This window comes from Homo sapiens, chromosome 2 (genome assembly GCF_000001405.40).
Source record: "Homo sapiens chromosome 2, GRCh38.p14 Primary Assembly".
NCBI lineage: Eukaryota > Metazoa > Chordata > Mammalia > Primates > Hominidae > Homo > Homo sapiens.
The window spans coordinates 86,199,040-86,223,909 of NC_000002.12; the positions used below are offsets into that span (position 1 = coordinate 86,199,040).

Consider the following 24,870-nt stretch of genomic DNA (forward strand, 5'->3'; position numbering starts at 1 on the left):
CTTTCGCCCAGACTGGAGTTCAGTGGCACGATCTCTGCTCACTGCAACCTCCGCCTTCCGGTTTCAAGCGATTCTCCTGCCTCAGCCTCCCAAGCCCGGCTACTTTTTGTATTTTTAGTACAGACGGGGGTTTCATCATGTTGGCCAGGCTGGTCTCGAACTCCTGACCTTGTGATCCGCCCGCCGCGGCCTCCCAAAGTGCTGGGATTACAGGCGTGAGCCACCGTGCCCGGCCCCAAGAATTTTTTTTAATAAGAAATTTTGTAGAACCTTCTATAGGCAGTCGTTTTACAGCGGCGAAGAACGGAACCCGGCAGATGACATTGAATAAATGTTGAGTGGACAACTTTGTTCTTTTCCTCTTCCTTGACTCCGCCTCCTTGCTTTCCCTTCATTCTCTTTTGCTCTTGTGCTTTTAAACCCAAAGCGGCCGCCGTAGGCGAAGGTGAAGATGGCTGCCTCTGCCTTTGCTGGTGCAGTGAGAGCAGCTTCAGGTCAGTGGAGAGCGACATACTCCATGCATGCCTTCACAGAAGGGGAAACTGGTGCGGGATGGAATGGGCGTTTAGACTGGAGGTTAACAAGCAAAAAGGGTCATTATTTAAGTTAAGAAGGTTGCGCCCAATTTTCTCTGGGGCGGTGTGACCGGCAGCCCGTACCAAGTCCCCCGACTCGGACTCACGCGGGCCTGTGTGTCACGCATTTGCCGCTTCCTTACCAGCTTTTTTTCCCTAGAAAAGAAGCCAGAGAAACTGGAACGGAGGGGGCGAGGGAAACCAAAAAGTCTCACCTAACTTTCTGATTTAGAGGCTACGACCTGCCATTCACGACCTTTAACCTTGAGAATTAATGTCTCCTAACTTAAGATTCTACACCTCTAAAATGGGGGTCATAACCACCTACCTGGGGATTAAATGAGATAATGCACGTAAAGCGTTTTGGGCAGTGCCTGACACATGGTAAGCTTGAAGGCTAATTTAATTTTTAACTACAGCCCCCGGCACAAGGGCTGGTATGAGGACTTCTTGACTGAGAGATAGCAGAAGTAAAGGCGACTAAATTAAGTTGCCGTGACGTTAAGTACTTTTTGCAAAAAGTTAAAAATCATCCAAATACCATAGGATGCTCAGTAAGTTACTTTCACACAAAATATATTGTTAGGATAACATTTTGTGGGAGAATATACGAGATCAGTCAAGAAAATGCAGCGATGTAAATTTTACCGTTAGAGAAAAGCTTTTTTTATGTGGAGTATTTTTTGTGTTCGCGAAATATAATACATATGAAGAAAATTTTATATAGTATGCATGAATGATTTAACAGTTCTAAAGCAAACACCTGTTTAACACTCAGGTCAAAACAGTGCACTACCAGAAGCCTCCTCTCCCCTATGTATCAAAATTCTCTACTTCCCCCCCAGATATAAACACTGTTCTCATTTTTATAGTTACTATTAGGTTGCCTATTTTTCCTATAGTAGTTTTAGCATCCATATGTGCATCTCAAGAACATAGTTTTGCCTGGTTTTGAACTTCACATGAATTGGTTCATACAGTATATACGCTTTAGTATCTTCTTTTACATTGTGAGATTCATTCATTCATTTTGCGTAGCTGTAATGCTTTCTCATTGCTATATAATTCTTTTTTTTTTTTTGAGACGGAGTTTCTCTCTTGTTGCCCAGGCTGGAGTGCAATGGCACGATCTGGGCTCACTGCAACCTCCTCCTCCCAGGTTTAAGTGATTCCCTTGGAGTAGCTGGGATTACAGGCATGCGCCACCACGCCCAGCTAATTTTGTATTTTTAGTAGAGTTGGGGTTTCTCCATGTTGGTCAGGCTAGTCTGGAACTCCTGACCTCAGGTGATCCGCCCGCCTCGACCTCCCAAAGTGCTGGGATTACGGGTGTGAGCCACCCTGCCCGGCCTGCTGTATAATATTATATGACTGTGCCACAATTCTCCATTTCCAGTTTGGGGCAATTATGTACAAAGCTGATTGATCTCATCCTGGCGCATGAGTCCAATTGTTTCTGAGGATGTGGGTATGTGTGAAAATCGCTGTGGAATTGCCTGGTCAGAGAATATGTATATATTCAGCATTGCCTGATATTGCCAAACTGTTGAGGCCCCACATCCTCACCAACACCTGATATTGATATTGTCAATAGATATTGTCAGACCTACAAATTTTTGTTAATCTGGTGGCTTTGTAATGGTATCTCATTGAGATTTAAATAAGCATTTCTCTGATTAATAACAAGCTATAGTGTGTTTCACATTTTTATTGGCCTTTTGAATTTCCTTTATGAAATATCCACTTAAATATTTTGCCCATTTTCCTATTGGATTGTTTGTCTTATTTATTTAGAGTATTTTTTGTTTTGTTTTTGTTTTTCATTTGTGTGTGTCCTTTAGCTTCTCCCACTCAGGCTTGTCTTTTTTACATTATTTTGGAGTGCCCTTTGACGAAAAGTTGTTTTTCATCTACTTGAATTTATAGTTCTTGTAATTTTTAAATAGATGATGTAGGTAGTTATCAACTTACTATTAATTTAGATTCTACTGAAAACAATTTAAAGAGTGATGTGACAGCTTATTTTAAAATGTCAGTATTTTAAATATGCTGGAAATTATAGCCTTTTTAACAATTTAAACTATTTGATATTTTAGATATTAAGAATTTGTGAAAGGGTAGTTTTTCAAAATTCTTTTAGGAAACATAGGATCAGAAATCTTGAAGACTCCTGGTTTCGATACTGTCACAGTCTCCTCCACTCCCATCCAGTGCAGTTCATGTCCCCCATTCATTCCTTTGATTCATGCCACATAGGGCCATTGTAATTCCCCAAATGTACATCGTCACCTTTGTACGTCCTATTCCCTCTGTCTCTTCGTACTCTGTCAAAACTCTGGTTTTGCGTTACCTCTTTTGTGAAAACATCTGTATTCTCTATACAACAGTGTGTTTAGAGTAGACTAGTCTGTATGAAAATGCCCAGACGGGGCAGAGGACTGAAGGAAATTAGTTACTTTCCTTGATGTACTGCACTTTTGTTAACAAAGCTAGACTGTTAGGTTTCCCTCACAGGCTTAATCACATGATTGATCCACCAGAAGGCGCAGTAGATAGAGCCTCCCCACATATTTTCCCATGAACTGCTCTCAACCAAGATCCCAGTTCCTGTTGTTCCCGTAACCATTTTTTCTAACTTCAGTGTATTTATTCCTGATTTCATCTTGTTGGTTTTGATCTGTTTTTCTCTCTTACTAAGATCACTTGGAGTTCTGATACTCTGTGTCTTCACAAATACATTAACAAGCCATTGTTCCCAGCTTGCTTTTTGGGAAAATTGATAAATATGTCTTATGCAGCCTCAGGATCTTCATAAAAATTGAGAACAAAAGAATTTCATAGGTTTTAATTTTTTAACCAAGAGATACCAAAATCTGATGACGTGTGAAAATTGGAACATTTTCTTGTCTACAGTCCTCCAATGCACTTAATCTTCCAAAGATTACCTCCTGCCTTATTACATCTGCACATCTTTTCAGTTCTTTGCGATTTAACTTATTTGATTTCCAAGGCCCTATGTAAGGGCTCTCTCATCAGTTTTCTGCACCAATGTTTATGCTACCCTTTTCAGTTGCAAATTGTTATCTCTTTTTCTTTTGTGGAGACAGAGTCTCCTTCTGTCTCCTGGAGTGCAGTGGCAAGATCTCGGCTCACTGCAACCTCTGCCTCCTGAGTTCAAGCAGTTCTCCTACCTCAGCCTCCGAGTAGCTGGGACTACAGGCGCGCGTCACTCTGCCCAGCTAATATTTCTATTTTTAGTAGAGACGGGGTTTCACATGTTGGCCAAGCTGGTCGCAAACTCCTGACCTCAGGTGATCCGCCGGGGCCTCCCAAAGTGTTGGGGTTACAGGGGTGAGCTACCACACCTGGCCCTGTTATCACTGATGGCCACATATTAATATACAGGTTAGGTATCTTTAATCTGAAACTTTTTGAGTACCAACATGACACCACAAGTGGGAAATTCTTTTTTTTTTTTTTTTTGAGACGGAGTCCCGCTCTGTCGCTCAAGGTGGAGTGCAGTGGCACAATCTCAGCTCACTGCAAGCTCTGCCTCCCAGGTTCACGCCATTCTCCTGCTTCAGCCTCCCAAGTAGCTGGGACTACAGGCACCTGCCACCATGCCCAGCTAATTTTTTTTTGTATTTTTAGTAGAGACGGGGTTTCACTGTGTTAGCCAAGATGGTCTTGACCTCCTGATCTCCTCGTGATCTGCCTGCCTCGGCCTCCCAAAGTGCTGGGATTACAGGCGTGAGCCACCGCACCCGGCCCACAAATGGAAAATTCTTTACCCGATCTCACGTGATCGGTGGCAGTCAAAACTTTGTTTCATGTACAAAATTATTTAAAATATTGTATAAAATTAACTTTAAGCTATATGTGTAAGATTTATATGAAACAAATGAATTTCATGTTTGGACTTGAGTCCCATCTCCAAGATATCTCCTTTATGCAAAATTTTAAAAAATCTAAAATACTTCTGGTCACAAGCATTTCAGATAATACTCAACCTGTATCATCTTTGCTAAGTATCCCTCTTCTTTATTATCTGCCATTAGCATTCATTAAATGTTTTCTCTGTGCTACCCTTCCAAGCACTATACATGCTTCATCTCATTCAAGTCTCATTACCTCTCCATAATTAACTTCATTTAAATTTGAGGAAACTGGGGCACAGAGAGGTTAAGTAACTTGCCCCTGGTTACACAGCAAGGAAGTCATAGAGCTAGAATATGAGCCCAAATCATCTCATTCAAATCCTAGCACTTCTATATCAACATGGCCCCTCATTTGTTATCTGAAATCAGTGCAGTAGAAAATAGGAGAGTAGTTCTAAGTCCCAGCCAAGCATCAGACTCAGGTGGAGTATTTTTCGCTTTTTTTTTTTGAGATGGAGTTTCACTTTTGTTGCCGAGGCTGGAGTGCAATGTTGCAGTCTCGGCTCACTGCACCCTCTTCCTCCCAGGTTCAAGTGATCTTCCTGCCTCAGCCTCCTGAGTAGCTGGGATTATAGGCGCACACCACCACACCCGGCTAATTTTGTATTTTCAGTAGAGACGGGGTTTCTCCATGTTGGTCAGGCTGGTCTCGAACTCCTGATCTCAGGTGATCCGCCTGCCTCGGCCTCCCAAAGTGCTAGGATTACAGGCATGAGCCACCATGCCTGGCTGGAGTATTTTTCTTAACCAACTTTATTGAGGTAGAATTTACATGCCATAAAATTACCCATTTTATGTGTACAGCTTTATGTTTTTTTATTAATTTAGCAAGCTGTACAACCATTACCACATTCCAGCTTTAGGACTTTTTTTTTTTTTTTTAGTCTTGTATTAGTGCATTTTTTTTTTTATACTTTAAGTTCTGAGGACATTTTCATCATCCTGCGGAACTTTTTTAACACACAATTTTGAGTCCCAAACTGGACTTCAGTCAGAATTTATGGGTGGAGTCGGAGCTCCACGAGTGATTCCGATTTGCAGCCATGAACTATTAGTCTGGCCATAGTGGGAAGGACTGATAAGAGGACTGCATCCGGACCACACATCTAGGCTCTCTGAAATCTGCCTTCTGACCTGTTCCACCCCACTGCCCACTACTTCTCCCCAGGCGTCTCTGATAGTCAGGCGAACAGTCTCAGCCTCTGAGGCAGGTCTGGTCCTCAACCCATACATGTACAGTTGACCCTGGAACAATACAGCAGGTGGGGTGTCAACCCCAAGCAGTTGAAAATCAAGTTGAAAAAAAGTATAACTTTTGGCTCCTCCAAAACTTAATTACTAATAGCCTACTGTTGGCCAGAAGCCTTACCAATAACATAAACCATTGATTAACATATATTCTGAGGCCGGGCACGGTGGCTCACACCTGTAATCCTAACACTTTGGGAGGCTGAGGCAGGTGGATCACTTGAGCCCAGGAGTTCAAGATTGGGCTGGGCAACATGGCAAAATTCTGTCTCTACAAAAATTAGGCATGGTGGCACATGCTGTAGTCCCAGCTACTTAGGAGGCTGAGGTGGGAAGATAGATTGAGCCCAGGAGGTCAAGGCTGCAGTGAGCTATGATTGTGCCACTGCATTCCAGCCTGGGCCACAGAGTAAGACCCTGCCTCAAAAAAAGAATTTTAAAAACATATATCCTGCATGTTATATGTATTATATACTGTATTCTTAACAATAAAACAAGCTAGAGAAAAGAAAGTCATAAGAAAAGAAATAGGTTACTGTTCATTAAGTGGAAGTGGATCATCATAAAGGTCTTCATCATCTTTACATTGAGTAGGCTGAGGAGGAGTTGGTTTTGCTCTCTCTGCGATTGCAGAGAAAGAAGAGGTGGAGGAGTTAGAAGGGGAGGCTGGAAAGGCAGGCATACTCGGTGTAACTTTTTTTGAAAAAAATCTGTGTGTAAGTGGCACTGTGCAGTTCAAACCCATGTTGTTCAAGGGTCACCTGTATTTGTTTCAGTCCCCATGCCTTTGCTTATGTTGTTCGTCCTACCTGAAATGTGCTCCTCCTCTTCTAAGGGCCTGCTCACTTTCTAGAGAACTCAAGTGCCTCTTCTCTTTTCTTCGAGAATCTTTCTGTCGCCACTCTTGTCTCTCCAGGAAGGGTCCATGCTCTTGCATCCCTGACCTGCCATTGTACTGTGTGTGGGAATTCTGTCTCACCAGAGTATAAGATCTGGGAGGTGGGAATAAATGTTACACACATCTCTTTTCTTAGTACTGGACATAGAGCTAGCAGACATCCGACTTGGTTGTGATGATGGTTGCACAGCTCTCTAAATTTTCCAAAAATTGTTGAATTATATACATAAAATCAGTAATTAATTTATGGTTATACCTTAGTAAGGTGGTAAAAGCTTCACAGATGAGTCTGATGCTCAGGGCACGTTAATTATGTTTAATACTTGGTGGCAGTGATACATCTCTTAATTTTTAATATCTGGATGCATATTTTGGAGTATTAAATATATATGCTCCTATCTTTACAGGAATCCTACGGCCCCTGAATATTTTGGCATCTTCAACCTACCGCAACTGTGTCAAGAATGCCTCTCTTATTTCTGCATTGTCCACTGGACGTTTTAGTCATATTCAGACACCAGTTGTTTCCTCCACTCCCAGACTTACCACATCTGAGAGAAACCTGACATGTGGGCATACCTCAGTGATCCTTAATAGGTAGAGTATATTTCTTTGTGGGGTTTTTTTTGTTTTTTGTTTTTTGTTTTTTTTTGAGACGGAGTCTCACTCTGTTGCCCAGGCCAGAGTGCAGTGGTGCATTCTCAGCTCACTGCAACCTCCACCTCCGGGGTTCAAGCAATTCTCCTGCCTCAGCCTCCTAAGTAGCTGGAAAGTTCTGGGATTACAGGCGTGAGCCACTGTGCCTGGCTGGTAGAGTCTATTTCAATAAACATGATGCTTAGACAAACTTTCCAAGATATTCATGCCTGCAGGGGTATCCTAGAAGTAGGTGGTATTCTTTGCCTACCTGCAGTTAATTATGTAGACATCTGCTTGATTGAGTGGGAGACTGTGACTGACATCCATGTATCTAGGCGCCTGCAGCAGGAAAATGCCAAACACAGCATGCTTCTGATGTTGTATGTGTGCTTTCCTGCATGGAGGCTGTCATCCAAAGTGGAGGGTGCACAAGACGCTCAGCTTATAAGGATGGGCTGCATGTGTTGGTCATTCAGTCAGCAAATACTCAGTTAAATACCCCTGGGTGCCTAGCACTGTACTTGGCAAAAAGGACATAAGGGTAAACAAATTGAAGTCCTCAAGGAGTTTGCAATCTGGTGGGAAGATGGATAAGAAATAAAGCGATGATAATAGAATGAATTATTTTACAGGGATTGAGGGGGTAGGTTTTAGAAGATTGCGAGTTGGTGATGGTTGCTATTCTAATTTATGCTTAATGTCATGGGTCATTGGAAGTAATATTGTATATGAAAAGTTAGTTCCAGTCCATTGGAGCAGCTTTACTCATTTCTCAGTATAGATAATGAATTTTAATCCTTTAATCAGTCTGATTACAAGCTAAAAATTTTAAAATATATTTTTAGAATGGCCCCCGTGCTTCCAAGTGTCCTGAAGCTGCCAGTCAGATCTCTAACATACTTCAGTGCAAGAAAAGGCAAGAGAAAGACCGTGAAAGCTGTCATCGATAGGTTTCTTCGACTTCATTGTGGCCTTTGGGTGAGGAGAAAGGTGAGTCTTCACACTGTTACTAAATTGAAAAAGGAATGTGAGGCCGGGCGTGGTGGCTCACGCCTATAATCCCAGCACTTTGGCGGGTGGATCATAAGGTCAGGAGTTCAAGACCAGCTTGGCCAACATGGTGAAACTCCATCTCTACTAAAAATACAAAAATTAGGCGTGGTGGCAGGCACCTGTAATTCCAGCTACTCGGGAGGCTGAGGCACATAATTGCTTGAACCCGGGAGGTGGAGGTTGTAGTGAGCCAAGATCGAACCACTGCACTCCAGCCTGGGCGACAGAGCGAGACTCCGTCTCAAAAAAGAAAAGAAAAAAGGAGTGTGAGCAGATTAAAATCAAACAGAATTCAGAATTCAGCCAGGCACTGTAGCTCATGCCTGTAATCCCAGCACTTTGGGAGGCCAAGGCGGGCAGAACACTTGAGGTCAGGCGTTGTGGCAGGTGCCTATAATCCCAGCTGCTTGGGAAGCTGAGGCAGGAGAGTCGCTTGAACCTGGAAGGCAGAGGCTGCAGTGAGCCAAGATCACGCCACTGCACTCCAGCCTAGGTGACACAGCAAGACTTCATCTCAAAAAATGAAAAGAAAGCAGCTTAAGACCAGTTTTGCAAAACCATTTTTGAGATTTAGTAACTGCCCAAATCCTAATTCCCTTTCATTACTTGGAAATTAAATCTTTAAAAATCAAAATTTGGTTCCCTGTAAAAATAAAATAGTTGGTAGAACTTTCTTGATGTTTGAAAGGTTGAAAGGATTCTCCCGTTTTATAAACAGTACTAAATTAGTAGATAAATGGGTTGGTTGGAACTCTCAGCTCATTTCTCTATTGAAACACTGTGGTGGGTAGTTTCCTACACCAGTCAGCAGAAGCTCATATAATCCATAAAGCAGCTAAACTAAAGGTCTAATGTTCTGAGTTTTGTGAATTTGAGACCACTGGAAACATTTCTTCCCTTTTGTGTGTATGTGTTTTTTTTTTTTTCTTTTTTTGAGACAAAGTGTCACTCTATCGCCCAGGCTAGAGTGCAGTGGCACAATCTTGGCTCACTGTGACCTCTGCCTCACGGGTTCAGGCCATTCTCCTGCCTCAGCCTTCCGAGTAGCTGGGATTACAGGCATGCACCACCATGCCAGGCTAATTTTTGTATTTTTAGTAGAGACGGGTTTTCACCATGTTGGCCAGGCTGGTCTTGAACTCCTGACCTTAAGTGATCCACCTGTCTCGGCCTCCCAAAGTGCTGGGATTACAGGCATGGGCCGTGACGCCTAGCCCCACCCTTTGGTTTTTATACCAGTTATTTCCAGGTCCTCTTCTAGCCCTAGGTAAAATGAAATGGGTGGGTTTCCTTGCCTTCCTTTCCATGTCCCTCTTACTGGGCTCTGGGGCCCTCATGTTACTGTAAAGGACCCGATCATACTCTCCAGTCATAATACCTAGCTTCAGTTCAGGGCTCCCGAAAGTATACCCTGTATAGAATGCCCTGCCTCTTCAAAATCTAATTTTCAGAGAAAAAAAAAATCTGGGTAGATGAATTCAAACTAATGTGTAAAACAAAGTATTTTCCATGACACGGTTTCATCCAGCAGTCCTTGGTATTTATTGTTCATTCCCTCCTTCCATTTTTGAATCTAGAGATTGTCTAAAAAATTTCAAGCATTTTCATAGTGGTTCCATTCTGTGAATAATCTTTAAAGGATACTGGTGGTAATGAGCAGGGCAATAAATTAGGTGTTTGTACGTCAGAGATCCATAGTAACCCAGTTTGGCCTGCAAACTATGAAATTATTACACAAATGTGGAGATTTGGCTTTAAATGTTTGCATTTAAAATTGTAAGCAGTGAGTAGCAAAAATCTAACCTCTAGCATTCTAAAACCAGAACTCTTAAATAACCTTTCCTTATTTCATCACTGTCCTTATAGAAGTTGATGGTCACAGTGATGATACTAAGACATGTCAGAAATGCAAGGCACATTCTCGGCAAAGAGCCATGGTTTTGTTCAGTTGGTATTGTGCCATAAAGAGCCCTTGGCTTGAAAGGACCCAAGGGCTCACCGTGTGGTTTTAGCCAGATGTTAATTAAGCTGGATGGCACCTAAGATCCCTTCTAGTTTAAACAGGCTATGATTATAGTTTTTATAATCAATCAAATTTTCCTTTCCTGTCTTTAAAAATAAATTCTTCAAAATGAATAATACCTGTATGGGTGTATATGAAAGTTCTGGGTTAAATATGTGGGTTAACCATTCCTTCACCACTCCTAATAATAGTCTTACCATATTCATAATTCCTTAGAAAAGTACTTCCTATAAAAATTGGTCCCTTGTGTGTGAAAATAATAAATGAAGCAATATATTTGAGAACTGTGCTTCTCAGCTCTTGTAATACTCAGCCTCCTTAATAAATATTAATGTTGTTACCTCGCCTGCACTCCATCCTCCTCTACATTAGGAAAGACAGTGGTTAAGAACTCTTATTAGCCTGGGCAAGATGGTGAGACCTTATCTCTACAAAAATTTAAAAAGTAGCTGGGTATGGTGGTGCACACTTGTGGTCCCAGCTATACGAGAGGCTGAGGCAGGAGGATCACTTGAGCCCAGGAGGTAGAGGCTGCAGTGACCGTGATCATGCCACTGCACTCCAGCCTGGGTGACAGAGTGAGACCCTGTCTCAAAATGAAACAAAAAAAGAACTCTTATTAGCCCTCAGACCTCTGTCTGCTACTTCTCTAATCAATGGTTTCTTTTTTTAAAGATGTAAAATAGAATAATAGTATGTTGTTAAAGATTGCTGAAGAGATAGTAAGATCATACCTGTTAAGTTAGTGATTATAATTCTGTCATTATCTTGTACTTTCCCAGCCACACACATTTAGTTTTATTTTCTGTGAGTTTAATTTAAATAATTTTTTTCTAAAATATGATTTATTACTAATTCTTTTTTAAACTACACATGCTTTCTCCATCCCCCTCCCCGCCACCCTCCCTTCCCCCGGCCATTGAGAATCACATCTTTCCAAGAAATAGTCCAGCCCCTATGGAAGTCTGGTTTTTGTTCTTATTGGGTCTATAAACCTTGAGTTGTGAAGATACCTGTTGTTTCATACATAGTATGATGTTTTACATTTCTTTGTAATATCTGACAGGCTGGCTATAAGAAAAAATTATGGAAAAAGACACCTGCAAGGAAGAAGCGATTGAGGGAATTTGTATTCTGCAATAAAACCCAGAGTAAACTCTTAGATAAAATGACGACGTCCTTCTGGAAGAGGCGAAACTGGTACGTTGATGATCCTTATCAGAAGTATCATGATCGAACAAACCTGAAAGTATAGATCAGAAGTTTCACTTGTTTCTCAGTTATTGGATATGTATCTTTGTGTACATATCTTTGCAAAAATGGATAAGTACAAAACTTGATGTAAATTGTACCAATGAATACGTAAACATACAGTGACAACATTAAACTTAGAAAAGTTTTAAAACTTAATGGATCAGACTTTGCCAGATTTGGTTAGGGAAACAGAAATTTAGAATGGTGCATTATTTTTAACAAATGGTATTGGCTTAACTAGTTGTTTCAGTTATGCTCTTTTAGTTGCAAGGAATCTCAAGTGGGACAAACATAAAAAGACTCAAAAGCTACAAGTTAGCTCAAGCAATGTGACATTATTTCAAGGATATGTGCCAGGGAATTCAGGAACCACCTCACCAACCCCATCTCCCACTCAGAAATCACCTCCCAGCCTCAGGAAGAGTAGAAATTGGGTGGTGCTCCTCAGCAGGGGAAGGTGGATGTTTAGGCTTGGGCTCTGCATGCATGTGACTTGCTTCTTTTTGCATTGTTAACTCCATTCTCTCTATTCACCAACTTCTCTACACAGCTTTTGCATACTTACAGTTTCTGTTCCTTTGTAATAACTTTAACTTGCACCTTTGAGGTTCTTTTCTACATGATGACCTTCAGCTCCTGCTGCTAGTCTCCAATTGCCAAGGGAATTTAACTGGGCCAGACTACCTTTTTATACTAGGTCTGGTTGGGTCATTGTCTAGAGTAGGGATTGGCTGTCCTTAAGTCAGGAGCCCGCTTTGTATTAGCAGGTTTGCATGCAGCAAAAAAACAGTTATGTGAGCAGTTTCACTTGGAGGTTCACATGGGGTGGCAGCACACTTAACATCTAACACACCAGGTTCATTGTGTTCATAACACTTGTCATTTACTGTAACAACATTTTTTCATAGGAGAGTAAATAGCCCTTCAGCATGCTCATTCATGAAACAGAAGAGGCTGTACAAGTGAAGACAAGGGCTTTTTATGCAAGTTTTGAAAGATAGGTATTTATTTTTTCTAGAGACAGGAGTTTTGCTCTGTTGCCCAGGCTGGAGTGCAGTGGTGCAATCATAGCTCATTGAAGCCTCGCACTCCTGGGCTCAAGTGGTCCTCCTGCCTCAGCTTACTGAGTAAGGATATGTATTTCTTAAAAGTTAGTTTATCCACTTCAGATTTCATGTTTTCATTTGTAAGGATAAACTTTTCCCACAAATTTTCAACAATCATTGTAGAAACTAAGGGGGAGAAAGTAATCTCAGTTGTTTTAGAAACGAAAAAGTTAAGCATTGTTTACTTGAAGTGGGCAGGGAAGCAGCACTGAGTAAAGTTCAATTGAGTGGTTACAGTCTAGGGCAGTGGTTCCCAACTCTCCGATCAGAATCATCTGGGAAGCATTTTCAAACAGCAAAGTACTTTGAAAACCATTATTAAATAGAATTATGCATGAATTACTGTTTCAGATCCTTTAATGTGGTAGTTGGTAATAATAAGATGAAATTCCTCTGTTGTTAGTAAAATTATGAAATTGAAGTTCTGCAGCATGTCAGGCCAGGATTATTAGGGAGATTCCTCGAAACTAGTGTGTGTTTATTAAAAGGAGAAAGGATAACAATAGAATGTTCTAAAACCAGAAGTCCAAGTGCGTGTCTACTTATGGGACCAATAAATAAAGAACAGACATTTGATTTGAGGTGAGGTAAAAGCCTGAAACATGGAATGGCATTCTGTTTTGATGGATTTTCATTTCTTCGCACTTCTGAGACGGCAAAGCCAACCACTTAGAAGCCTTCCACATCTTTGTCACCTGCCTGGCTCCTGCTCTCTGATGTACCTCTGGGTAGTGAGATGGAAATGGTGCCTGCAGAAGTTGGGGAGAAGGATACTTTTGCACAGCCTCCATGATGTCTTTATTGCAAATATGGATGACAAGGGTCTCTGTTACAGGGGCCTCAGAGCACCTTCGTTTCTCCTCTAGACCAGGGACAGGTGTAGAGATAAGGACTGGCAACCAGAGCCTCAGCATCCAAAGATGGACTGAAGTGGGATGGCTGACAGGCACATAACTTACGGGAAAGGGAATTTCATACATACGATTTTTGTTTTGTGGGTAGGAGGGCTTATCATCAACACTGATTTTATAATCTGACAATAAATGTCTTTCATTAAAGAGTTTACCTAAATGATGTTCGATTATATGTATAATTTATAAAATATTTATGTATAGTTTGTTTATTCAGGTATATGTATAATTTATTGAACACCTACTATGTCCCAGCATATCTACAAAACTGGGTACATACATACTGTCTAACTGCTAATCCACATTTCCAGTCTTACAAAGGACATAATGATTAGTTAAGCCCTAATTTAGATTTGAGGAAACTGAAGCTGAGAGAGGGTTAAGTAAATTACCCAAAGTACAGCTAATAAGACCCAGAATCTCAGTCTCACTCCTTGGGATCCTGTGTATTTCCCTGAGTCTTCTAACATATGAAAATTCATATCTAAATCAACAAGTGACTGTAATCTGGTACTATAAATACTAAATAAACACTTCTTCATAACACTGTACCAATTCAGCTTTTAAATTTTATTACTTTGCTTTCCTGTCCTTTGCCAACTCTTAACCTAGTTAATCCTAGTTCTGTTGACATTGGACCAGGCTCAGTAAATAAACGAATGGATTTCCAGCCTTTTTTTCCCATCTGTTCCTGCTTTTAGTCCTCTGAATCTGCTTCTTTTCTTACTGCTGCTTTATTTTACAGTGATTTTGTCAAACATAGAATACAGGACTAAAAATGCAAAGAAATTGGGTCTGTGTTTAATTTTGATGTTTCAAATTTTGAGCTTCCAAGTCTTTGTGGCCACCCAATGAAGTTTGAGTCTGCCTGTTCAGATGTGAAAGGTAAGGGCTGCAGCAGGTTTAAGGGTGGCCCTTCACCACCCTGTTGTCACCTGCACAGGCACTCCCCCATTTGCAGATGAAGAAATGTTCAGAGAAGAAAAATGATGGACCAAACGTCTGTTTGCACAATTGAAACTCTACCAGTGGACTATTCTATTTTCACAGCTACCTAGTTTCTGCCGATGATTTTTTTAAATGTGAAATAAACAGTGATACTTTCAGGTTTGTAGTTGTGTGATGAACTGGTTTTCAAAACATTTATATCATCTGGTTTTCTTTCCCTCTCAACATCCTATGCAACAGGCACGGGGCCAAGTCACCAGGCCAGTCGGTGGCTGAACACTCAGCTTCTAATCCTTGCTACCTCCCATATTTGAAAAAAAGTATTTCCTGTTTCCTTTTAAGCCCAACATTACAAAGATGTTTTTTAAAAGAAAAATGTTAAGACTTTATTCAAGATGTGTATCAGGCATTATAACAAAACAGCAGAACTTCAACCTTTGGAATACTGTAATTTTACATCCCTTTGATGCACAGTCCAGTATACTATTTTATTACAGATCATTCTATAGGGACTACAGACATGAACTAGAGGAAATGTGCACAGTCAAAATCCAGAATATCAGCTCTGGGAGTGTACACTGTTAGAGGATGAAGCACATCCTTTGCCATTTCAAATACTGTGCCAGGTGGAGGACTAGGAAGGCTCAAAGATGGTCATGGTTGACAAGCACTCTTATCACAAACACATGGATAGCTTATCACGGAGAACACATTTCAAAGGCCAGCAAAGTGAGCAAGCTATTCACACAAAGCCAGGAGGGATTATGACTAAACTCTCCAGTTTATAAGCACAAGTCCACATCTCACCTCCTCAGAACAGGTGCTCAATGGCAATTAACTAAAAGTTATGACATGAACATTACAGACTTTCCAGCTAGCATTTTGTAAACAGCCTGTGTCTGTAAGTCAGCAAATTAAAAACATTCAGTTGTATCCTCTAGACAGAACACCACACCACTACATGTACACTTACAGGCTTTCACATTTTATGTCAGTTCATACACAAATGTACAACTTGTCAGATACGTAAACACATTTTGCCAGAAATATGACAGCTGCTTTCAGTTGTACAGTGAGTGTCTTTAAGAGAGAAACCGACTCCCTAGTCAACACTTGAAGGAAAAATAGTTACATTTACATTAAGACAGAGTTTGGATACCTTTATATTTTTCAATCTTGAATGAGAAGTAATAATACAGCATGTCTGAGAATAGAGCGCTTCAAACTTTTTTTGGCATAGTTAAGTGCAAACTTGATAACCTGTACTTGTCACAACTCTCCATTGTAAAATGGCGAAAATATAGGTTGTTCACGATAGGATTTTAAACTGCTGCTAAAGGCAATTTATTGTTTCGGCAAAAAAAAAAAAATTGCTAAGAAGCTGTGTAAGCTTTTTTTTTTTTTTTTTTTTTTTGCATTCGTTTCTGATAATTCTGGGTACTTCCAACTAACAGGTAAATACATTTTAAAGAGTATATTCTTCTTCTGTCTGGAACTACTCAATGAGCACAAAGAAAACATTTTCTGTCTTCCTTAACAGATTTAGGTATTGGTGGGTGTGGGGCACAGAACATGAGCAAACAGCTTCTGTTTATCCTCTCAGCCACAAATTCGCTTTTAGGTATATTTTCCTATACCCTTTTGCAAATTACAAAATCACCTTCAGAGGAACTATGGGTAGATGGGATTCCAATATGCATATCTGGCAACAATCAGCTTCAAATCAAACCCTTTCTGGGGTGGCTAAGATCCAGCTAATGTGTCATCAGCAAAGGCCTCTAATATGTGTTTGCGTAGTAATGGAACAGTTTTTAATTGGGCCTGTTTATAGTTGACTGACAGTAAGTTCTATATGGTATATAACACTAATTCTCTAGTCTTCTGGGCATATCTACGAACAAATACAATCCAAATATTATGAGTAACTGGGTTGTGACCACTGCATGCATTACACTGAAAGAAACACCAACTCGAAGCACAAATATATTATTCTTATATTTCGGCTCAGCTCTCAGTGGGGAGAGCAGCTACCTCGGACCACAATGCCATTTAAACCAGATTCTTTTCAAATAAAATTCTCAATCTAAGTGGAAAGCCCCCTCAGAGAATGCCTTATTCCCCTACTAAGCAATCCAGGCTTGTATAAAACGTCTGATAAGGCCTGTAGTGCCCATTGAGTATGAGTCTGCTGTTTACATTCTGCACAGGCCAGGAGGGGAACAGAAGGTGTGAGCCACAGGTGCTCCTGGGTCTGACCAGCAAGTCTAACCCATGAAGATCTCGAGCTCCAAAACCATTCTAGAGCCCACCATTTTGATTGTTACACATGTGTTTCAGATGTATGTTATGGCATATCTGAAACAGCAGAGTTCTCAGTTTTTTGTGTGTTTGTTTTTGCTAAGCTAAACAAGTTTTGCTAGAGTTCGCTAAAACAAGGTGCTCAGAGTGTAAGCTCCTCTGTCAGGAAATCGGCAGCACTGGTCACGATAAAGGAGAAATCGTCCTTTGTCAAGCACAGAATTACTCCTTCCAGCAGCTCTACATGTTCCCATCCTCAAGAAATTGCACCAAGAGTGAGCTACCTGCCTATCCCTGGAAAAGATTCAGAAGCTCCTAATCCAGAATCCAGGGAGGAGATGAGCTTCCTGTGACTCTTCTCTTTTACTGGGATGTTCCCCTGACCTCTCATCACACTTTACTGTGTTGTGAAATATTGTTTCTCTTAGTTTGTAACTTGTCTGGTCTTTTGACTAAACAACTATCTAAAGAATATAGACCACACTCCTGCAGGGAAAGGGATGTCTTACTGGAGTTGTATTTGGAAGCTTTATAAGCACATCTGAGACGTTCTCTAGAATCAAAATATTTGTCTATATTTGTTTTTGCAGTTTTCTTACATATCAGAACCTCTGGCAGCCCTTGCAAGTCCATTATATTAAAAGCCAAAAGCCATAAATATGTACATCATAGTTCAAAGTATAAGTACCAAGAACAAAGAAAGTTGTAAAAAATGCTGTGTTTGCATTTACAGGACTAAAAACTAAGTATGCAACAGATAAATTACAAATGTACATCTCAGCAGCATAGGGGTGATTCTCTTATCTTTCTAAAAAACACACTGCTGTCTATAATGACAATCCAATTGTGGAAAATTACCAACCTCAGAAGACTTAAAGGTCACCACCCCCGCCCCTACTACCTTTCCCTTTAGCCTCTCCCCAGCAAAATAAAGAAAAGGGGGAAAAAAATAAATCCTTAAAAGTGGAAGGGGAGAGAGAAAAGGCCATGTTTGTGAGGCTGCACACTCAAAGCACACCCAGCTTGCGGATTTCTATGTTATTAGTGAATAGCTCTTTAAGGCAGAGAAGAAACATTCTGTGGATCCGGTGCTGTTGGCTCATCTCACTCACGTGGTTTCGGTGGCCGAGGATGAGGTACTTTTCTTCCTGAAGCGAGATCGAAGGATTCTAGGCGGTGCCTGGTAGAGAAAACAGAAAGGTGTCCCTCAGTTTGGTGTAAATGTGGGATCTTTTGAGGTCAGCACCTGGAAGGCATTGTGTTGAGACTTCCAGCTCCTTTGGCCAAATGCAGCTGGCTAGGGCTGGGGTCTCCCTGAATCTCCGCAACAGGAAGCAATCATCAGAGTCCCATCCCACATATCGCATGAAGCTGAGCCCTTTGAGAGGCTGATGCCTCCCTCTTAAATTATGCTCCTCAATCTCCCAAGGGAACGGTTGTGCAGAATGACACATCTTTCTTGTTTCTGCCTGAGGAGCAAAATTATCTTAAATGATTCAGCAGAAAGAGACACCTCCGCATGCTTCCTTTGCTTTTGTTATTTCCTTTGGGAACCAGCCTAATGTGTTTTGGTACATGCCTCAAATTTCCATCATCAAATTTCCAGTCCCCTTTCTGGATGAGAAACCTCTTAATGTACAGCACACCACACCACAAAGGCAAACACCACCTTGAAGTACAGGTTGAATATCCCTTATCCGGAAATGCCTGGAGTCAGAAGTGTTTGGGATTTCAGATTTTTTTTTTTTTTTTTTCAGATTTTGGGATGTTTGCATATACATTCCAATTGAGCACCCCAATCTGAAAATCTGAGATTCAAAATGCTCCTATGAGCATGACCTTTGTGCGTCTTGTCCACACTCAAAGAATTTCAGATTTTTCGATTAGGGATGCTCAACTTATATGAAGGGCTCCACCTCATCTCTCCCACAAATGACTCTCAAGAGACCCCTCCTTCCATGGGATACACAGATCACAGGAGGAGTTCCTATTTCAATGAAAGTGAAGGGAACATTTTCTGGCACAGCACTTGAGGGGGTTCACACAACTGGCCCCAACCTACCCTTGGCCCCCGTGTCTGTCCACTTCTCTGTATACACAGAGAACTTCTTTCTCTACACTGTGCCCATTCATGCCTCTATTCCTTCTGACTGGAAGCCCTTCCCTCCCTCCTCTGTCTTGCATATTTCTAGGCCTCTTGAGGACCCAGCTCAAAAGTCACTTCTGCAAAGGTTTCCCGGAGCCCCTCCTGCCACTGCCCAGCCATGCACAACCAGGCATCGTCACCTCCTTTGTTCTCTCATGTTTTGTACATGTCCCCCAGCAGAGGACTTTGCACCCAGTGGGAAGGGAGTGTGTGGGGGCCCTGCTCACTCTCTCCCCACCAGACTGGGGACTTCCTGAGGGCAGGCCCATGTCGCATTCACCACCATTTCCTGGTAAGTGGCTCAGTGCTGGGCAGGCACATACAAGGCAGGAAGTGAATGAGCCAGAAAACAAGACTCAGGCCCTCTCATAGAGTCCTCATGCTACAGCCTTACCACTAGGAAATGCTTACCAGCCACCTCTGGACAGACACTGAAAACGGAAACAACGGAACCCACCTTTATAGTAATCTGCCTCTTGGCAGGCTGGTGAACTGTAAACAGTAAAGCAGTTTGTGCAGCTTTAATAAACAAAAGCAAAACAGCACAAACCCTTGGGCCTTAGAATTCTTTAGGCTGGGCTCCTCTCCCCATCAGGAGGCTGCCCAGGCCAGATTGCCCAGGCCAGACTCCTCCAGCAGTGTCCAAGCCCAGAACATCCTTTCCCAAACCCTCTAACTTTAAAAGGGATGCATGTGTGCCTCACCTTGCAAAGGAACCTGATGAACTGCACATGGAGGTGGTCATAATTACAGTCCTAACAAATAAGAATGCTAGGCTGCTCAGTGTCTGCAGAAGGGAACATTTCAAGGCATCTCCCCATATAAGTCTCACAAGGGTCTGTACGGAGACTTCCTATTTGCTTCAGATGGCCTCTCAGGCCGTGATACTCAGCAGATGGGGAATAGGAGAGGAGACCTTAGGAAGCAGAGAGAAAGACTGGGGTCCCTGCACCTGTGCTCATGACTGGTGACTCCCTACCCACATCACAGAGCAAGGCCCAGGAGGCTCCAGGCTCAGCCCTCCTGCTGCCAGAACTCCATCCACATCCTACAACTGAAAATAGCATATATGTCAAGGGTATTGGTTTTGGTAACCCTAAAGGGCTATACCCCTTCACTAACATTTCATGAATAGCTACTTTATACCAGGCACTATATGCTGTGTCTTGGAGATACAGCGATGAACAAGCCTTGTTCTTATTTATAAAAACTTTTCAAATAACACATTCTGAGTTTTCTTCCCCCAAAACAGTCAATTTGGGTTGTTTTTCACTTGTACGTCAACTTAGAGTGGTAGTTGTTAATACCTGGAAAAACCAAAACAAAACAATAAAGACCTAGATACTTTACCACTCTCCTATTTGTTTTTCTTTTCTTTTTTTTTTTTTTTTTGAGAAGGAGTCTCGCTGTGTCATCCCGGCTGGAGTGCAGCAGTGCAGTCTCACTGCAACCTCCTCCTCCTGGGTTCAAGCGAGTCTCCTGCCTCAGTTTCCCAAGCAGCTGGGACTACAGGTGCGCGCCACTACACCCGGCTAATTTTTGTATTTTCAGTAGATAAGGGGTTTTGCCATGTTGGCCAGGCTGGTCTCGAACTCCTGACCTCAGGTGATCCACCTGCCTCGGCCTCCCAAAGTGCTGGGATTACAGGCATAAGCCACTGCACCCGGCTCACGCTCCTATTTCTAAATGAAATTAATAGGATTTCCTCTCCTTGGCAAGTAGCTGGATGCTATCCAGTGACTGGTTCTGCTTGTTTGATGGAAGGAGATCTTTCCACCCCAGGTATTGAGGAGATGTTGGTGCCCCAAGAGATGCTGCTCCCAGGACCCCCAATCTCCAGGGCATAGCCTTTGGACAAACACACTCCAACCCACAGCCCCAGACACTGTGTACCTCCAGGGGCAATTCCATCCTTCGAGGTGCTTTATACTTGTACATGAAATCCAGCAGGTCTTCCTCCTCGTCGTCAGAAAACGCCAATGGGTTTTGGACCTGGTGGGGCTCCCATGCCTTCATACCACCCTCATTCACATCTCCCTCAACCACTTAATGTCCATTTACAATCTACACAGATGAGACAAGGTATAGCAAGGAAGCATCAGTGCAGGGAGCAGGGAAGGGCAAGGTTAGGCACACAGCACAGCAAACCAGGCCTGTGAGGACAGCTGAGGCCCCTCGGTCTGAGGAAGCACTGATGTTTTGGGGGCCTCCTTACAGGGGATCTGGGATTGTGAAAGTGCAGTTGTGTGAATCTCCAGGCACTGTGCACAGAAACAACCACAGACTCAGAATCTACTGAATTCTGAGTAATTCAGTAGATTTACTAAGGGGGCATCACTTCCCTGGGTGAAGAAAGAAGCGGCTTTAACTGAGACACATCAATCCCTGCAGCTCAGTCCTGTGATCCCACACCAGGTGAATGCTCAGGGAAAGAATCTCCTCTAGAGAGGATGGCAGCAGTGATGTGGGGTGGGGTGGGAGAGCAGTTTCTATGTTGTACATACAAGCCATGTTGACATTGTATATTATACTTGCATATTCAATTCCAAGCATCCTGTAAGAGACAGGATATAAAATGCCAGGAGGCCTTAAGTGATAACCTTAAACAAAGCTATATAGTTTTTTTGTTTGTTTTTTTTTTTGCGAAGGCCCAGTCCTAGAGAAGCAGAGAAACCTAAGGAAGGAGAATCTGACAGATGCCTCTGCCAAAAAAAATGATAGCAAGATTCCTGTTTCAGTCTGCCTTGAATACATCTGCGGGAAAAGCTTCAGAATTAATTCATCTCATTGAACGCACAGTATTTTTTAAATGTTAAATGCTAATACATATTCCATGTCATCTGCTAGGCGGTTCTTAGTTGAGATGTAAAATATCTTCTGCCCCTACCCAGCTTATCTGGTATCACACACACACATTTTTCTATGCTGCATCTATTGTTTTTACCTAGAATCACAGAATGCAAGACTAAGGGGTTCTCAAGTCATCTGGTCCAATCACCGTGAGGCCTCCAGATAGAAACCACAGCTCTTCTTGAGACACCCTGCTCCTAAGAACATATTCAGCCACCGAATGTGCTCTCTCTCCATCAACAGTGGACTTGCTAGACTATACCACCACCAGGCGTGGAGTAAAAAAACAGACAACTGAACCCTAATCTTGGGCAGCTTTACCAGTTACCACTGCTGTGCTCCCCAACAGCCAGCAGGAAGCAGCACAACATGCAAAGCTGAATTTTAGGCTGGGGTGTGATTGGTTCAGACTGGGCCTTAGTAAGTAAAGTCCTGAGATCACTGATGTTCCTTTGATTTTTAAATTACTATTATTATTTTATTTCTACTCTGCACTTCCCTCAGCTTATTTACTCTGGGCTTAGTTTGTCCTCTGCTCCCTTCCTCTGTCCTAATCAGCTGCATCCTGTTGAGCACAAAGACCAGTGACTCCAGGGAGCCCTCGCTGAATACTCTGACCCTCCCTGGCCTCCCCACTCTGAGACCCGACAGTGCTTGGAGGCTGTGCCACACAGCTTGTGTTGGGTGCCCTGGTCCTCATGTCAGTCTCATTGCCTCAGCCAACAGAAGGCATCCTGAGACTGGGGGGCCATGGCTGATCCTCCCTCAGTCTCTCTGAGCACCTGACCCAGGGCTGGGCACACAGTGGCCACTCATCAACTAAACTAAATAGAATCCTGAAGTCATCTCAGAGAGCTCAGCTCTAGTCCCAAGTCAGAGCTTGACACCCCCATTAACCAAACCAGGAAATTCCTTCTGGACACAGATACCTCCTGCCTGGCAGGAGGGAAAAAAGACCAAAAGCCCTCAGACCAAGGCAAAAACTGCAGAAGCAGCCTGGCCAGCTCCACCCCAGCAGCCAACTCCATGACATGGAAGTGGGGTGGGTACCGGTTCGAGACTGTGCCTCTGCATATGCTGTACCCTCCACATCCAGGTCCAGGGCTTTCCCTGTACTGATGGTTGTGGGTGTCAGAAGGTGGCCCAAAGTCACCGTGAGATCCTCAGGCATCTAACAACCCAGGCTAGTTATCCAGTCTGGATTCACTGAGGCTGAGCAATGAACTCACACTTACCAAAATCACCATCATCACTATAATCTCAGGACTGAAACCAAAATGGCTTTGTGCATGTTCTCCACTGCAAGGATTGCAGGGTAGAAAAGAAATGACCCTCCAGCCCAGTAGGAGTGATGGTTCAAGGACAACCCAGATATCCAAGCAGGAATAGAAACAAGTGCTCAGCTCAGCAGAGGCTGGGAGCAAAAGAGGCCAGTGTGGGCAGTGAGGGAGCCAGAATAGCCTCAGGAAGAAGCTACAGAGAGAACCTCCTAAGAAGATAAGACATCTCCTAGTCACTGTGTCCGCTGAGCATTTCTGCCAAGAGTGTTGTCTATAATATTTGCCTTACTCTCAGAACCAGTGAGAATAAACATTCTAAATAAGACAAGCTTCCACGCCTCTAGCTGGCTGTTGCACAGTGGACTGAATCTCTTAATAATTGTATTTCCCTCTTTGCAGTGGTTTCAAGGAAGCCAGGTGTCTCAACAGTCTACACCTTGATGGTATGCATTTAAAATGTCCTTCTCCCCACTGATTCCATCTTACTTGCCCACTCCCTTCTCCCCATGCTTCAATTTTCTTACTTTGATTTGCTACTTTAGATATATTTCCACAAGTAGACCTAACTCCTTTTTATATCAGGAAGGAGTATAAATGGAGAAATGAACCCCACAGAACATAGTCCCAAAAGAGGGGCACCAGGAGGAGCAGGAGAGTGAGTAGCTGGGTAGAAAATCCCATGCTCTGCCTCCTCCATGTTCTTGTCCCTGAAGATCTAAAGATTGGTGACCCAACAGGTCCTTACCCCTGGCAACAGGCCTGAAAGAGTATTGCTATCCACATCTTAGTACTCTAATTGGCTCCCAGAGACAATGTGTGTGGGAGGAGGGTCTCCCGCCCAAGGTCATGGCCATAACAACTTGCAAACCTCAGGTGATGGTGGCCACGGCCTTGAGCCTGCAGAGCTGCCACTATGATGCCCAAAGCTGGGTTGCTTCTAGGAAAGGGCAGGGTTTCTGCCGTCTTCCACAGCAGGGGAATGGGTGTGTGGCCTTGGCTGATGTTTCTGTATTAGCAAATGTGTCAGCAGGGCTACAGCAGCCAGGGCTGCAGGCTCCACCTCTTCTCTCTGTGGGGAAGGGAGGGAGGGAGAAACTGGCAGAGCCTCTCAGCCCTTTAAAGGCCTGTGTAGCCTGCAGTGGGCCCAGGGCTGCCGCACCCCTGCAGTGCAGCAGAACCTCCCCCAGGTTAGCAAAAACATCCCACACAGCACACATTAGCGGGAGCATTAATGGAAGGCAGCAAATGTCTGCAGAAGAGCACGCCTGTCTGGAACACTTACATCCACGTCCCCAACAGCACCGAGGAGAGAGAAAAGAACATTCCGTTAGAGAAGGGTCTTTGGCACTAAAACTCACACGTGTGCACCATGCACACATCCCCATCCACACACACTCACACACAGACACACTCACATACACACATGTAGACACACACATGCTCACTCACTTCCCATGCTCTAAACCTCAGGCAGCTCCTCCTGCTATAATCAGAAGGACACTGCCCAGAGGCCACACTCAAAATGCAATTCTCTCTCTCTCTCTCTCTCTCTCTCTGAGAGGACAAAAAGGATGACTGCTTTTAAAAATTATGTCCTACATGCTTGATTTTAAAAGGGGGGGAGGGACACCTCTATGACTAACCACACAGGCAGTAATCCAGAGTTCAGTTCTATATGACATAGAGGTAGGCAGAGAAAAAAA

General features: G+C 42.9%; 2 protein-coding genes across 19 annotated transcripts in view, besides 2 other annotated features; one reads left to right on the forward strand and one right to left on the reverse strand.

Moving 5' to 3' along the window:
• Window positions 237–506: an enhancer, noted in NCBI's record as "active region_16158". NCBI's record gives its function as "activates an Ori minimal core promoter by ATAC-STARR-seq in GM12878 lymphoblastoid cells {active_cell/tissue: GM12878}" and the evidence as "EXISTENCE:reporter gene assay evidence [ECO:0000049][PMID:35858748]".
• On the forward strand, window positions 394–14,755 carry MRPL35 (mitochondrial ribosomal protein L35). 3 transcript variants are annotated; one of them, NM_001363782.1, is made up of 5 exons: window positions 394–494; window positions 7,067–7,256; window positions 8,144–8,288; window positions 11,441–11,574; window positions 14,589–14,755. In NM_001363782.1, the coding sequence occupies exons 1-5, from the start codon at window positions 452–454 to the stop codon at window positions 14,608–14,610; spliced, it is 534 nt and encodes a 177-aa protein (NP_001350711.1). In that variant the 5' UTR covers window positions 394–451; the 3' UTR covers window positions 14,611–14,755. The 3 variants fall into 3 exon arrangements, with proteins under 3 accessions (NP_001350711.1, NP_663619.1, NP_057706.2); NM_145644.3 differs by lacking the exon at window positions 14,589–14,755 and adding an exon at window positions 13,387–14,315 and having other exon boundaries at window positions 418–494; NM_016622.4 differs by having other exon boundaries at window positions 418–494; window positions 11,441–14,751.
• The window catches only part of REEP1 (receptor accessory protein 1), a 124,091-nt gene continuing 114,174 nt past the window's right edge, over window positions 14,954–24,870 (reverse strand). For 9 of the 16 annotated variants that reach the window (NM_001164730.2, NM_001164731.2, NM_001164732.2 and 6 more), the window contains one exon: window positions 14,954–18,071. In NM_001164730.2, the coding sequence (NP_001158202.1) occupies window positions 18,061–18,071 (11 nt within the window). In that variant the 3' untranslated portion in view covers window positions 14,954–18,060. Of the gene's footprint in view, window positions 18,072–20,930; window positions 21,083–24,870 lie in introns of all 16 variants that reach the window. The other 7 variants (NM_001410855.1, NM_001371279.1, XM_017004725.2 and 4 more) reach the window with 1 other exon arrangement.
• Window positions 19,127–19,421: an enhancer, noted in NCBI's record as "tiled region #10968; HepG2 Activating DNase matched - State 8:EnhW". NCBI's record gives its function as "activates a minimal TATA promoter and a strong SV40 promoter by Sharpr-MPRA in HepG2 cells {active_cell/tissue: HepG2}" and the evidence as "EXISTENCE:reporter gene assay evidence [ECO:0000049][PMID:27701403]".

Bases quoted from the DNA above. Each gene is read 5' to 3' on its own strand.
- MRPL35 (NM_016622.4), top strand. From the start codon at position 452: ATGGCTGCCTCTGCCTTTGCTGGTGCAGTGAGAGCAGCTTCAG. The intron at 495-7,066 runs GTCAGTGGAGAG...CTATCTTTACAG, and splicing joins TGCAGTGAGAGCAGCTTCAG to GAATCCTACGGCCCCTGAAT. The intron at 8,289-11,440 runs GTGAGTCTTCAC...AATATCTGACAG, and splicing joins GCCTTTGGGTGAGGAGAAAG to GCTGGCTATAAGAAAAAATT.